At 39.3% G+C, this 14,603-nt stretch overlaps 1 protein-coding gene and 1 long non-coding RNA gene across 33 annotated transcripts in view; one reads left to right on the top strand and one right to left on the bottom strand.

Annotated features, from left to right (window-relative positions):
- RBFOX1 (RNA binding fox-1 homolog 1) overlaps positions 1 to 14,603 on the bottom strand; it is a 2,473,620-nt gene that overhangs the window by 657,710 nt on the left and 1,801,307 nt on the right. For all 30 annotated transcript variants that reach the window (NM_001415887.1, NM_001415888.1, XM_017023318.3 and 27 more), the window contains one exon: positions 3,533 to 3,574. In NM_001415887.1, coding sequence (NP_001402816.1) covers positions 3,533 to 3,574 — 42 coding nt within the window. The remainder of the gene's footprint in view (positions 1 to 3,532; positions 3,575 to 14,603) is intronic.
- LOC105371068 (uncharacterized) lies at positions 140 to 13,020 on the top strand. Of its 3 annotated transcripts, none has more exons than XR_007064968.1 (8): positions 163 to 247; positions 2,206 to 2,317; positions 2,452 to 2,532; positions 3,715 to 3,816; positions 4,496 to 4,550; positions 10,942 to 11,058; positions 11,716 to 11,846; positions 12,733 to 13,020. It is a non-coding gene; the product is annotated as an uncharacterized LOC105371068 (long non-coding RNA). The 3 variants fall into 3 exon arrangements; XR_007064969.1 differs by lacking the exon at positions 163 to 247 and adding an exon at positions 962 to 1,030; XR_007064970.1 differs by lacking the exons at positions 2,206 to 2,317; positions 2,452 to 2,532 and having other exon boundaries at positions 140 to 247.

The following is a 14,603-nucleotide window of genomic DNA, read 5'->3' as shown; positions in this document are numbered from 1 at the left end:
ATGACATCTAAGAAAACGACTGCAGTGACGAATTCTGGGAATTATTTTCCTGCAGTAAAATGCAAGACGTGTGAAGGAGAAACTCCTCTTCTCCTTCCTTCTGATGAGAGTGCTGCCCTGTGAGAACGTGATATGGGGTAGATGGCAGACATCTTGGAAGAAGGAAAGAAAGGCCAACGGAAGCACAGGGATTGCAAACCACTGCCCTGATACCAAAAAGCCTCTGAATCAACCCTGGAACTGGGAGGTGGAGAGTTATTTATTTTTGTAAATAACTCTTAGCTTTTCCATAACTCTTAGCTTGTCTATAACTCACAGATAATAGCATCTTAACTGATAATACTGATATGATCTCAAGAGTATGTTCTATAAACAAAAGTGTTGCGTAGTCAGCTGAGTTAGAAAAACGTTGTATATTATATCCAACTCTTTGTATTTCATTTTTGCAAATTAAAGGCTATGAGAAGACCTGCAGTTAAAAAATAAAAACTGTTTAGCTTTTTTTAACATGGTATTTCCTAAAATTAATCATATGATCATTTTAAAGACTCCTTAATATCTTCAAGATATTAAGCACTTCACAGTGTCTGTTTTGGAAAAATTAATTTAGGCTTCGTGAGAAAAAGAAAGGAGATCCTAACACCAAGTATTGGATACGCCAATTCCTACACAGCCTCGATGGGGCACAAAACAGAAAGCGCAGCTTTATCTTTCTAAATCATCTGCTATTTCCAGGAGGCCAAGGAAAAGGAATAAATTTGACAACTATCCACTTATATCCCTGAATTCTGACAACAGAATGCACTAATGAAGGACCCTCGACATGATAACACGGCCACAGTCCAGTCATCCTGGATAGCAAATCTGGAAATGCATTTTGACTGCTGCACTTAGGACACATTTTTATTGTGGCTTGCAGACAGTTACCCTTCAACGATGTGGTAACTAAACAGATTTCTAATTTTCTTCCACTCTCTTTCTAAGAAAGCAAAATGAGATTGAGGAAAATGCATTTCATTGAGATGGACAGGTATTTACCTTCCAGTTCTAAATTCCTTTCAGAAACCCTTAAAAAATGCCCCCCCACCCAGGTTTGGCGCAGTGGCTCACACCTGTAATCCCATCACCTTGGGGGGCCGAGGCTGGCGGATCACGAGGTCAGGAGATCGAGACCATCCTGGCCAACATGGTGAAACCCCATCTCTGCTAAAAGTACAAAAAAAATTAGCTGGGCGTGGTGGCGCGTGCCTGTAATCCCAGCGACTCTGGAGGCTGAGGCACGAGAATTGCTTAAACCAGGGAGTCAGAGGTTGCGGTGAACTGAGATTGCGCCACGGCACTCCAGCATGATGAAAGAAAGAGACTCTCTCTAAAAAAAAAAAAAAAAAAAAAAAAAAGCTCCCCGCCCCCCCCCCCCGAAAAAAAAAATCACCTTAATAAGGGAAGTTTTCTTTTGAGGTGATGGAAGGGCTCTTACAGACACAGGTGTGAAAGGAAAAGAGGGAGGGAGGAAAGGAAGAAGAAAGAGATGGAAAGACAGAGAACAAAAATGAAGAGGGCAGAAGAAAATATCTACAGATGAGATAGCTACCAGTACTTAATCACACTAGGGGTCTCCCAGAGGGAACTAGACGCCTAAGTCACGTGGGAAGGGAAAACTCCATTGCACTCTCTTTGGTACTATTTAAATTTTGAACCCTATATATGTGTGCTCTATCCAATCAAATGTGCCATCTATCAATTCAAAACATAAATTCATTTAAAAAGCAAGAACAGTGACCATAAAAGTAACAACAAACAAAGCACTGGTTCGTGATGTTAGAGATGGGGCTATTGGAGCCATACTTGGGACTAAACTAAATGAACCATTATGTTAATATCAAGCCACTCCCTGCATTTATGTAACAGAGAGGGGAAGACTCCATTCTTGAACCTAAACCACACTCCTGTCGACAATGGACTCATAAATGGGAAATAATCCCTCAAAATGCAAACAGGTCCTTCATTACCTACTGCGTCCTTAACTTGCCAAGCAAGTGTCATTTGCAATAGAGATTTCAATATTATCTTAATTCTCAGGCATTTATCAGGGACTCCTGGAGACAAAGGCACATATTTCTCTTTATCTAGCTCTGACCTAGTTCTGACCATCGTCCCCATCCAAACAGCAAGAGAAATCTAAAGTTGTAATACATTATTTAACAGGATGAACCAGTAATTCAGACTACAGGAAAAAAGCAGTAAGACAGTTCAGAAAAGCTTAAAAATCTTGAAGTCTGTTCCATGAAGGAAAGGGTCACAACGAATGTCGGCACAGGTACTTGGAGGAAAGTGGGTAGAGAGGGCCATACTGAGATACTGCATAAAACAAATATGCATAAAAGAAACAGAAAACCTTGTCTCACTTTCTCGGTTTCATGCACCTGGATTCTGTTGTTTATTTTACCCAAGTACTTCACAAACCTGATGCCAACAGCAACTGTGAAATGGAAGCAACTCTACAAATTATTGCCATCATGAGACTATCATTAGGTAAATGCTCTGAAAAGTTACAGGGCAGTGTATGAAGGCATTAGGCCTGTTAAATACATTATGCTTATTTATTAGACACCTTTGGGCACAGGAGTTTCCTAACGCCAAATCCCACTGTTGTGGTTTTAAAAGCAGCATATTTCTCTGATTTTTATAACAATTTGAAAACATGGCTATAAGGCACATTGTCCAGTAAAAACTGCCAACTTCCATTAGTGACATGAAAAATACACCAATCATAATCTAAATCTCATCCACTGAAAACACGAATTCATTTAGAAGAAAACAAATGGGAAGAAATCCCAAAGTTTCTTAAAATGCCATCCCCATACCAAGAAGAATGTCCACTCTGACACAATGAAAGCAGAACAATGTCACCAAGCTCCATTTATAACCAAACACTCCCTGCACATCTAGGGAATACTTCTTACACCGATATGCCTGAGCACCAAGACAGTTTCATTTTTAAGTGGGGAAACAGAATATAAGGTTTAAAATTTTGTCTCCCTCTCCCATATACACAAATGTCACTAAAACCAAGAGGTCTATAGATAACACAAATTCTCCCAGAAAACGCCCTTGACATATTCCTTGCTCACCCACCCCAGTCAACAGCCAAAGAGCATTTTAGCCACTCAGCAAACAGCCTGGTATTCATATTAAGAAGGCAGCCAGCCATCCTTTTGACCTTTGTTATTACTTAGACCTCGTGTTGTACATAAAAAGAGTACAATGATGTCAAACAAATTCCAGAAGAAAAGTATTTATTGCTGAATCTAAATCAAAAAATCCATATCTACTATAACGGCACTTCCAAAGAAGATATACTGTATTTAACAGCTCAATCAATACTAAATAAGCTGGGATAAATATTTTCAACTCTACCAGTCTTAAGATGAAGCCTGTTATTTAGAACCCGTGTCTTGGGAGAGACAAGGAAATTTTTGCTTATCACACAAAAATGAGAATCAGGAAGCATTTTACAAGCAGGTGCACCTACCCTTAGCTGCTCTCTTTCACAATTCATCTGTTGTCTTGAAACCTAGAAAGAAAAGAAAATGAAGGGGAAAAGTCAGAAGGCTCCGGATCAGAAAAACATGAAAGAAAACAGAAAGTTACTTTTAATTACTCAGCTCAAAGAAAACCCATAATTAATTAATTATGTATTTAATTTTTCTTTAGGTCTACATAGCTCAAGCTTCACTTGGAGTTCAATTGTGTGATTCAGAAGCACAGCTAGGATAAGTCAGAGACTGGAAAGGGGAAGAGGAGAGACGTGCAGGAGTATGTGTGGGAGGCAGCATCTGCCTGGGATGAGGGCACCTCCCCTCTTGTCATGAAACTCCCCACCCTTTTCCCTGAAAACCCCAGCTTGCCCTATATCACAGGTGCAAGAATTCCTCCATAAAGGCCCACTCCAGATGGTCATGATAAGTCAGTGGAAAACACACAAAGTCTTCTCCAATGTTTAGGGCCAGTAGTGTCAGTTGTCATGCCTTGGCAACTGGGTTACATTTTATGGTCCAGTTCTAATCAGATGGTAGTAAGTCCCCATAGGATTGTGCTGGGGAGAATTGTGAAGCCAATCCTTCAATCACAGAAAGAGATCCTGATAGGTTTCTGGTATCGGCCATCAGATAGGAAAGTGGGTATTAGCAATACATATGCCATGCATTAATTATCTTTGCCCTACTGACATGTTTTACTTAATGTCCAAGGACGCTTCTTTGGAGTGGCCATATAATTTATTATCCAAACAAGAAAACATAGGTGGGTTAAGGGGATGGGTGGAGTCGTATTACATGATTATGCTAAGGACACAAATAAAAAGGAACACATAGAAGGAATTTTGAGATATATGGTCATTCTGTCATCAGGAGCTGGTAGACTCCACTGTCAACTAAAATAGTTAAGCTGAAATAAAATTTAGGTCTTCATTCACCTTTATTCTATATCTTTCCAGTATTTTTTTTTAACCAGTGAAACAACTCCCGACTTCCAGGACCAGACAATATACTGTAAGTTTTTGAAACTTTTACTAAGGGATATGAAGGTTTAGGAACCAACTTTTGATGTATATTTTACGCATTTTGTATACAAAGTTTGTTTTGACTTTCTCTAAAAACAAAAAAGGAAGAATATTTACTTAAGGATGCACCAGAGCCCCAAATCTATAAATCAGTGCTTTTCTATGCCCTTTTACCCAGAAATATTACCACTAAGATTAGCTCTTAAAAAAATATGCAGAGGCACACAAATGTTTATTTCCATGTCAATTAACAACAACATTATGTATGAAAAAAGAAATTATAAACATTATGTGTGATAATGGAAAAATTAAAAAATATAGTATACTGATAGTATGGCATAACATGTACCATTTAGAAACATAGTTTTAAATATAGAGATATGAAAAATGTTCAAAAGACACCATTTAGTTGTTAAGAAAAGAAACCACAGAAATATACAATATTATGGTTCCTATCTTGGGTTAAAAATACAGTGAAACAGATCATTAAAGAAAATGAAGGAAGGCCAGGCACGGTTGCTCATGCCTGTAATCCCAGCACTTTGGGAGGCCAAGGCGGGTGGATCATGTGAGGTCAGGAATTCGAGACAAACCTGGCCAATATGGTGAAACCTCTTCTCTACTAAAAATACAAAAATTAGCTGGGCATGGTGGTGGGCATCTGTAATCCCAGCTACTCAGTTGGCTGAAGCAGGAGAATCACTTGAACCTGGGAGGCAGAGGTTGCAGTGAGCTGAGTTCCCACCATTATACTCCATCCTGGGCAACAAGAGTGAAACTCCATCTCAAAAGAAAAAAAAAAAAAGATAAAAATAAAGGAAAAAAAAAGAAGCTAAAGAGGAAAAGACTGGGAGAAATATTCCAAAAAATTAAAAAAGAAACTGGTACAATTCTATAAATATCCAAAAAAAAAAAGCCCACATTGAATTATACACCTGAAATAGGTGACTTTATATTATGTAAATTATGTCTCCATAAACTGTTAAAAGATGAAGTAGGGAAAATTCATTGAGACAGAGAACAAATTAAATGTTGCCAGAGGACTGGGTTAATGGAAAAGGAGGAGTGACTGCTTAATGGGTATGAGGTTTCTATTTGGGGTGAATAAAATGTTCTCAAACTGGATATTTGCACAACATTGTGAATGTACTTAAATGCCAGTAAAATGTATACTTTAAAATGATAAAAAAGGTAAATTTTATTTTATGTGTATTTTAACACAAAATAAATGAAGTGGGTGGTGAGGTTTCGGTTCTTGACAAGATGGAGCGAAAACACTTCATCCTGTTTCCCCCACTGAATGCAGCAAGGAAATCTGTATAGAATGCATGGGGGAGCTATTTGAGATCTCTGAAAATTAAAAAGCAGCAAGTGGAGGGGGGAACAAAACGACCAAAATTTAAAGTACCGCCACATAAGTGGTGAATTACCACCTCCCACCACCAATACCCCTTAGTGTGGGTGCAAGGTAGCCAAGGGCTGAAAATCAGACACCCAGCCATATAAAGACTCAGGAGAAGCACTCTGGTTTTGTCTTGAAAAACAAGACAGATGAGTCTTAACACTAAGAGAATAGGGAAAATCCCCATTGTTCTTTTTTTTTTATTACTGTTCTTTCTTTTTAAAAGTTTGTGTGTCCTCTTATGCTGCAGTCTCCAGGCAATCTCAGGGTAGTGTTCATGTATAAACAACAGTGGCAACAGGGGTGGCTGCAGACACTTAACATCTAGGACTGTGGTCTCAAGAGGTTGGGCAAACAACTCCCACCTCCCATTGCTTTTCTTTATTTCCTCTCTTCTCTTGACACTTTGCCCTAAATGCAGACTCAGATGAGAAGCAGGTGAACAGAAAAATTAAAAACAAACAAAAAACCACCAGCTTTCTGGGTGGAGGACAACAAACAGGGAACCCTAGAAAACAAATATTACTTTGAGGATCCCGGAGAGAAAATAATTTGGGAAAATCACCCCCAAACAGTATTTTTATAAACTCCTGCACTGACCTCTGTGCTCATGTCTGTATCTGACCCTAAAATGTTTCCATAAGCTTTGAGAATTGAACTAAGGAATAGACTACTGCCCATGTCCCAGACTTGATATATATATGGGAGACACCCAACAGAACTGATATTGGAAACAAATCCACAGAAGAAAAGCAAGAGCTTTCAGCCTGAATGCAACAAGATTGATTGCTTATTAAAACAAAAATATCAACAACTTCCATGGGATTTTAAACAAGACCTAGAGTCTCCTAACACAATATTCAATATACCCAGAATACAAACCAAAATGACTTAGCATACTAGGAACCAAGAAAATCTAAATTTGCATGGGAAAAGACATTCACAGACACCAACATCAACATAGCAAAGATGTTGGAATTATCAAATAAAAACTTTAAAGCAGCTGTTATAAAACGACTCCAAACGGTAAGAAAAAACACACTGAAAATAACTGAGAAAAAAATTGACAGCATTAGCAAAGAAACAAAAGATAATAAAGAACCAAAAGGAGCTGGGCGCGGTGGCTCACGCCTGTAATCCCAGCACTTTGGAAGGCTGAGGCGGGTGGATCATGAGGTCAGGAGATCGAGACCATCCTGGCTAATACGATGAAACCCTGTCTCTACTAAAAATACAAAAAATTAGCTGGGTGTGGCGACACGCGACTGTAGTCCCAGCTACTAGGGAGGCTGAGGCAGGAAAATTGCTTGAACCTGGGAGGCAGAGGTTGCAGTGAGCCAAGATTGTGCCACTGCACTCTAGCCTGGGAGACAGAGCAAGACTCCATCGAAAACAAACAAACAAACAAAACAAAACAAAAAAATCAAAAGGAAATTTTACAACCATAAAAATAACTAAATTTTTTTAAAAAAATAAAAATAAAATATTGGGCTGGGCACGGTGGCTCACACCTGTAATCCCAGAATTTTGGGAAGCCAAGCGGGTCGGATCACCTGAGGTCAGGAATTTGAGACCAGCCTGGCCAACATGGTGAAACCCCTTCTCTACTAAAAATACAAAAATTAGCCAGGCGTTGTGGCAGGCACCTTTATTCCCAGCTACTCAGACGGCTGAGACAGGAGAATCGCTTGAACCCGGCAGGGGGAGGTTGCAGTGAGTAAAGACTGCACCACTGCACTCCAGCCTGGGTGACAAGAGTGAGACGTCTCAAAAAAAATAATTAATTAATTAAAACGGAATAAAATAAAATCTCACTGAAGGTGTCCAAACACAGAATGAAGACAACAGAAGAAAAAGAAGTAAACTTGAGTACATAAAAAGTATCCATTCTAAACAACATAGGGGAAAAAAAAATTGAAGACAAAAAAAAAAAAAAAAAAAAAAAAAAAAAGAAATGCAGGACCTGTGGAACAAATATCAAAACGTACAATATTTCATGTTACTGAAATTCTAGAATATAAGGATAAAGAGTTCACTGCAAAAAAAAAAATTAAGAAATAATGGCTGAAAACTTCCTACATTTGACAAAAGATATAAACAATTTCAAGGAACTAAAAGAGTTAAAATCAACGAAATCCACAACCACATATATCACAGTCATATTGGTAAAGCCTAAAATTAAAACACTGAAAACAACCAGAGACAAACAATGCAATGCTTGTAAGGGCCCAACAATTCAAAGAACTATGGATTTAAAACAAAATCCAAACTAAACAAACAAAAATCCAGAGAGGTCAGCAGAAAATAACACACAGTTATTGAAATACTGAAAAAATAATTGTCAACTGAGAATACTACATCCAATGAAAATATCCTTTAGAAATGAAGGTGAAATATGAAAGTAACTAAGAAAATTCACTGCAGACAGACCTGCCCTAAAATAATCGCTATAGGAAGTTTTCCAGATAAAGGAAATAGGATACCTGAAGGAAACTTCAAACAACAAGAAAGGAAGAGCTGGAAATGGAAATGGTAAACATATGAGTAAATGTTAATAGGTGACTGGACTCTTGAGTTCATTAAAATATGTTTAATGGCTTAAAGCAAAAAAAAAAAAAAAGGAAATTGCATGAAGAGCTTTCTATACTCTTGAGTTCATTAAAATATGTTTAATGGCTTAAAGCAAAAAACTGGGGGGGAGGGAAGTGCATGAAGAGCTTTTTAATTTATGGATATACAATACGGAAGTTAAACAAAATATAGGCCAGGCGCAGGGGCTCACGCCTGTAATTCCAGAACTTTGAAAGACCGAGGCTCGCAGATCACCTGAGGTTAGGAGTTCAAGACCAGTCTGGTCAACACAGCAAAACCCCGTCTCTATTAAAAATACAAAAATTAGCTGGGCATGATGGCGCGTGCTTGTAATCCCAGCTATTTGGGAGGCTGAGGCAGGAGAATCGTTTGAACCCAGGAGACGGAGGTTGCAGTGAGCCGAGATCATGCCATTGCACACAGACTGAGACTCTGTACTCCCCAACTCCAAAAAAAAAAAAAAAAAAAAAAAGATAAAACACAAAGACTACAGAAACAAAGAGGCATACGTGGTGATAAACTTTATTATCTCCCATCTTTATTGAGGCACAATTAAAAAATAAAAATTACATATATTTAACGTATTGAACTTGATATTTTAATGTATGTATAAATTGTAAAAACAATCACCGAAGTCAAGCTAATTAACATGGGTGATAAGGTTTCTGCATTCCAACTAAAGAGGCAAAATACTGAGTCTTGTAGACTGAGAGAAATATGTGTGTGATAATCCCTATAACACAACCTTTAAGAAAACCGAAAAAAGTGAAACATCCAGAACAAATAATGATAGAGTAACTGGATGTGTACACACACACACACACACACACACACACACCCCTTTACCTAAACCTCACACTTTATACAAAAATTAAGTCAAAATGGAACACCTGTCTACATGTAAAATATAAACTAAATGGCTGATGCAATTAAAGACTGAGGGCAATGCTTCCTTCTTAATGCTTTCTGTAGTTTTCAAACTATCCTTTGTGACATACAGGGCATTTATAATCAGCAAGTATTTTAATATCAGTACCTTGCAGAAATACAAGTGTTTTTAAAAATGTATAGTAATAGTGATAGCATTGATTTTCGTTAATTAATAAAAAGTTTATCTTGGCCGGGCATGGTGGCTCACACCTGTAATCCCAGCACTTTGGGAGGCCGAGGTGGGCAGATCATCTGAGGTCAGGAGTTCCAGAAGAACCTGGCCAACATGGTAAAACTCTGTCTCTACTAAAAATACAAAAAAATTAGCCACACGTGGTGGAATGCGCCTGTAGTCCCAGCTACTCAGGAGGCTGAGGCAAGAGAACTGCTTGAACCTGGGTGGCAGAGGTAGGCAGTGAATGAAGATCAAGCCACTGCACTCCAGCCTGGGCAACAAAGCGAGACAATGTCTCGCTCTATTGAAAAAAAAAAAGTATATAACAAGATTAATATTTTTAACATCTGCCTTCAAATATCACAAGGATTTGCCAGACTCACAAAAGCACAATGACGACACTGAAGGAACCAGGGGGCCTACTGACCTCTGACTTGTGCCATGTGAAGTGGCACCACATTATCATATTCCTATTGCAGACAATGCAAAATCCAACAGTAGCCAAGGAAATAGCCATGCTGTCCTTCAAATGAAGCCAAATAAGGAAAATGAGATTTGGGAATAAGAAAAAGGATATTTCAAGTAATCTCTATAGTAGACATGTTTGTTTTTGTTGTGTTTATTTTTCCCTGCACAGCATCCCATATTATTTTGCTTATATTCTAGTGACAATATCCTGCTTCTTTTTTTGGGTCATGCACCTGTTCCATTTCATAAATTATTAGTAAACTGGTTGCCACCACCACCACCATACTCCACCTACTGCCAACCCCTTTGTTTGGAAGTGGGAGTCCCTGGCCAATTTGAGTCAATCCAGTGACATACACATCTCATGAGTTAGGTGGCCAGTGACCTCCCCTCCTTTAAGTAGGGATCATCGAATGCAGATCCATGCTTTCCTCACATCTTCCGTGAAGAAAGAGCTGTCCATTGCACAAAACGGCAGAATCCCATCATGAGTTGTGTGTTTCGGCTGCAACCTTGCTCATCAAACAGCACCCCAAACAGGGTGTAATGATTCTTGGAAGACTCAGTAAGTTATTGCTGCAACTAATGAGGCTCTTAAAAAATTTTCTCCATAACCATTATGGGAGAGGCTCCGGGTGGGGAGAGGGGAGGTGGAAAAAAAGGCACCTGTAACTCCCTACAGTCTGTGATGAAGAAAGACCCTGCCTGTGCATTCTTTAAAAGCTAGCCTTGAAAAATATCTTAAATGTACACTTTATCAAATGTCATTTCATTTGGAAACTAACATGTGATATTTTTTTTCTCCCATGGCAGTAATGCACAAAACCAATATATTTTATGGCCTAAATGAAAAAAAGTAAAGTGGAAGGTCGGGCGCTGTTCCTTTAAGATGCTTCCAGAATCAAATACCACTCTTGAAAGGGCTGCCAAGTAAGCACTTATGAAAGGTTAGAAACTGAAGCAATAAACTTCAGCATGAGACCCTTTGCTCTCCCGGTTGAACGAGATGTTTAATAGCAGGGATTCATCTTCCCCGTCTCCTATCTTCATTTAGCCAACAGGGCCAAAGACGCTTTCTCACTCAGCCTTTTTCATCCTTCTCCTGACTTTGAGTTCTCTCTTATCAGTTCTTCCTGCTTTATTCTGACCCTGTTTTCAGTCTGATTTTTCTCTCCCACACATCAGACTGGCTCTGCAAGAACTAGAACTGAGCCTTAGGTGGCTTTCCTTTTCTAGAGATGAGTACGATGTTTGGAATCCACTTGTTTACTCATCCATCCTTTCATATATATTTACTCACACACATACACACCCATACCCACACATGCACATATACATACACATATCTCAAGCACCTTCTGGATGTCAGACACTGTCCTAAGTGCCAGGAATACAACAGCAAAGAAGGCTACTGGAGCTATTGTCTAGGTGGGGAAAAAGATGAGTCTATGGATAATTACAATACAGAGAACATTTGTACAGTGAAAGTGTAAGAGGTGCTTGCAGTGCATAGGAGGTGGCCCAACTTGTCTTGGAGAATTGAAAAAGGTATTAGTGTATTTTGTTTGTTTTTGTTTTGTCTTTTAGACAATGTATCCAGGTAAAGAATGAAAAAAATATATTCAGAGGAAAGGCAGGAGGATGTGTGGAAAGCTCAGTGAGATTATGGAAGTGCAGTAATTGAATATGACACAAGAGTCAAGTGCAAGAGGGAACTGGTGAGAGATTAACTTGAACTGGGGAAAGTAGGAGTCCAAAGAAACAGAAGACACACAATAAATGAATGGATAAATAGATGTTCATGTTTTCATGTCCACAATAATAGAATGTTGGAAAATCCAGTTTTCAGGACAATTATGAATCACTTAGAAGGAAAACACTGGACAAGTTTACCAGCATAGAACTCAATATATCAAATCAATTGGTAGCTTTATTTCTCAGCGTTGCTGTTTTTGTAATCATTATAAACTCTTCTGAAACAAGATGGCATTTTCCTATAAACGCACGTCTCCAAGTACCTAGGGTGAGCCCTGGAGTTTGCGTTTTCCTTGATGCATTTCAGGACTATGATACACATTTGACATATGTACTCAGGGTACTAACTGCCTAGCGCTGTGCTAATGAAAGGGGGTGTGTATCTAAATGACACATTGTACATTTTATTTAAAAAAGACAGGGGAGGAGTGATGAATAAAATAATGATGATGATACAGGGTCGTATGTGATAGAAAAGAAAAAACAGGGTTCCAGGGGTGCTCAAAGGAGATGCACCAACCCAGCCTGCTGAAGGACGGGAAGCAGTGGAGGAGACATCAGTCAGTTGTTTCTGGAGCTGAGACCCTTGATCTAACCCTTACTGAGTAAATAGGAGTTGGGCGGGAGGACCTCCCCAAGGATACAGAAACAAGATACCGTGAATGGCACAGTCAAAAGCAGGATAAAGTCAGGGAGATTGTGGGGGGTGGAGGATGGAAGCGAAGGAACTTTGGGATTGCAAAATATTTAGGTTTTGCTCAATTTTAACTATGCTGCTAGGAAAGTAATTGTTTTAATCACTTTATTTATTTATTTATTTTTGAAACAAAGTCTTCCTCTGTCACCCAGGCTGGAGTGCAGTGGCGCAATCTCAGCTCACTGAAACCTCCACCTCCCAGGTTCAAGTGATTCTCCTGCCTCAGCCTCCCGAGTACCTGGGATTCCAGGTGAGCGCCACCACACCCGGCTAATTTTTGCATTTGTAGCAGAGATGGAGTTTTGCCATGTTGGCCAGGCTGGTCTTGAACTCCTGACCTCAAATGATCCGCCCGCCTGGGCCTCCCAAACTGCTGGCATTACAGGCGCAAGCCACTGCACCTGGCCTTAATCACTTTTTGCTGAAATAAATTGCACACTAACATTCGTTAAAATGTATCCAATGTTTGTAATATGTCATAAAATGTGCTAAACAGTTCCTAGTTATAAGCTTAGTTAATTCTCAGAACTTTGTAAGCAGCTGACAATTGATTTCATTAGCTGATTTGATTTTAGCTCCATTTTACAGGTGGAAAAACTGAGGCACAGAGTGAGTGAATTCCTAAAACCGTAAAGATAGGAAATATTCAAGAGGGAATTACCATCTGGATGGGTTGACTAGGTTTCCTCTCTGAATCACCATTGTACACAGTTTCCAGGGTCAGGTAAACCAAACAAAACCATGGATACCTACACTGTTAGCCCTCCTCCCCAATCTGCGCCTCACTTGTCCTTAGCAGGTGCTCATTAGCTACTGTGCCCTGACAAGATGCTGTTTACACACTTGTGTTTCTCTAAAACAAGACATGCACCGACTAGCTAGTGTTGTCTAGTTCCATAAAACACATAAATTTCCAAACTTGGCTTATTGAGGTAAGAACCAGTATAATTTCCACCAAATTAGATTTCTCTGATATCAAAGCACTGGGCCCTTCTGTAGATCCAGTTTTCTCCCCAATGGAGACTGGAGGTTAAGGAATCAGACTAAGGAAGTCCAGTCCTTGAACATCTCCTAAGTAACGTTAGCCATATTATATAATCTCTGCAGGCAATTTCCCCATTTGTACCATAGAGATAATATGGTACCTGCAAAGTGTCTAATTTTATTGTGAGCATAATCTATAAGAATTACTAAGCAAAGCACTTAACACATTTAAAAATTCAGCAAATACCAGCAATTGGTATTCAAATTAATGACACAGGAGGTTTTCACAAGAAGCACTGGGTCAAATGACTTGGGTCCAAATCCTGGCTTTGTTCCCCAAGAGGCCTTGTGAATTTGGCTAAATTAATGACACTTTTGTAGCATCAGATTCCTTTCGAAAGGTTTGATATTATCTTTTTAAGAAGGGTGGTAAATTGGTACTGACTGTTTCGAGGGGGCAGCTGGCAGTTATCACTATGTAGAACTTCCATTTCCTTTAATTCAATGGTTAGTATTCTAGGAATCACTTTACCAGAGTGCAACGGCGAATGAGGAAGTAAGGACAGCGCTTGTCACAGAACAGACCCAGAACTGAGAAGAATGCCAATGTCCACAAGTAATGAAATGGTTAAAAGAATTGTGGTTCATCTACATTAGGAATTGAAAAACTTTTTCTCCTAAGAGCCAAATAGGAAATGCATTGCCCTTTGAGAGCCACAGACTCTCTTGTCTTTGTTGCAGCTACTCGGTTCTCCCATTATGGTGGAAAAGCAGCCACTGACAACGTGTAAACAAATGGGTGCCACTGTGTTCCAATAAAATTTTATTTACAGGGTTGGATGTGGTGGCTCACACCTGTAATCCCAGCACTTTGGGAGGACAAGGCGGGTGGATCATGAGGTCAGATGTTCGACACCAGCCTGACCAACATGGTGAAACCCCGTATTTACTAAAAATACAAAAAAAAAAAAAAAAAAAAAAAAATTAGCTGGGCGTGTTGGCACTTGCCTGTAATCCCAGCTACTCAGGGGGCTGAGGC

This window comes from Homo sapiens, chromosome 16 (assembly GCF_000001405.40).
Source record: "Homo sapiens chromosome 16, GRCh38.p14 Primary Assembly".
Taxonomy (NCBI): Eukaryota; Metazoa; Chordata; class Mammalia; order Primates; family Hominidae; genus Homo; species Homo sapiens.
The sequence above is the reverse complement of the archived record's forward strand: the minus strand, read 5'-3'. Positions and strand labels throughout refer to the sequence as shown.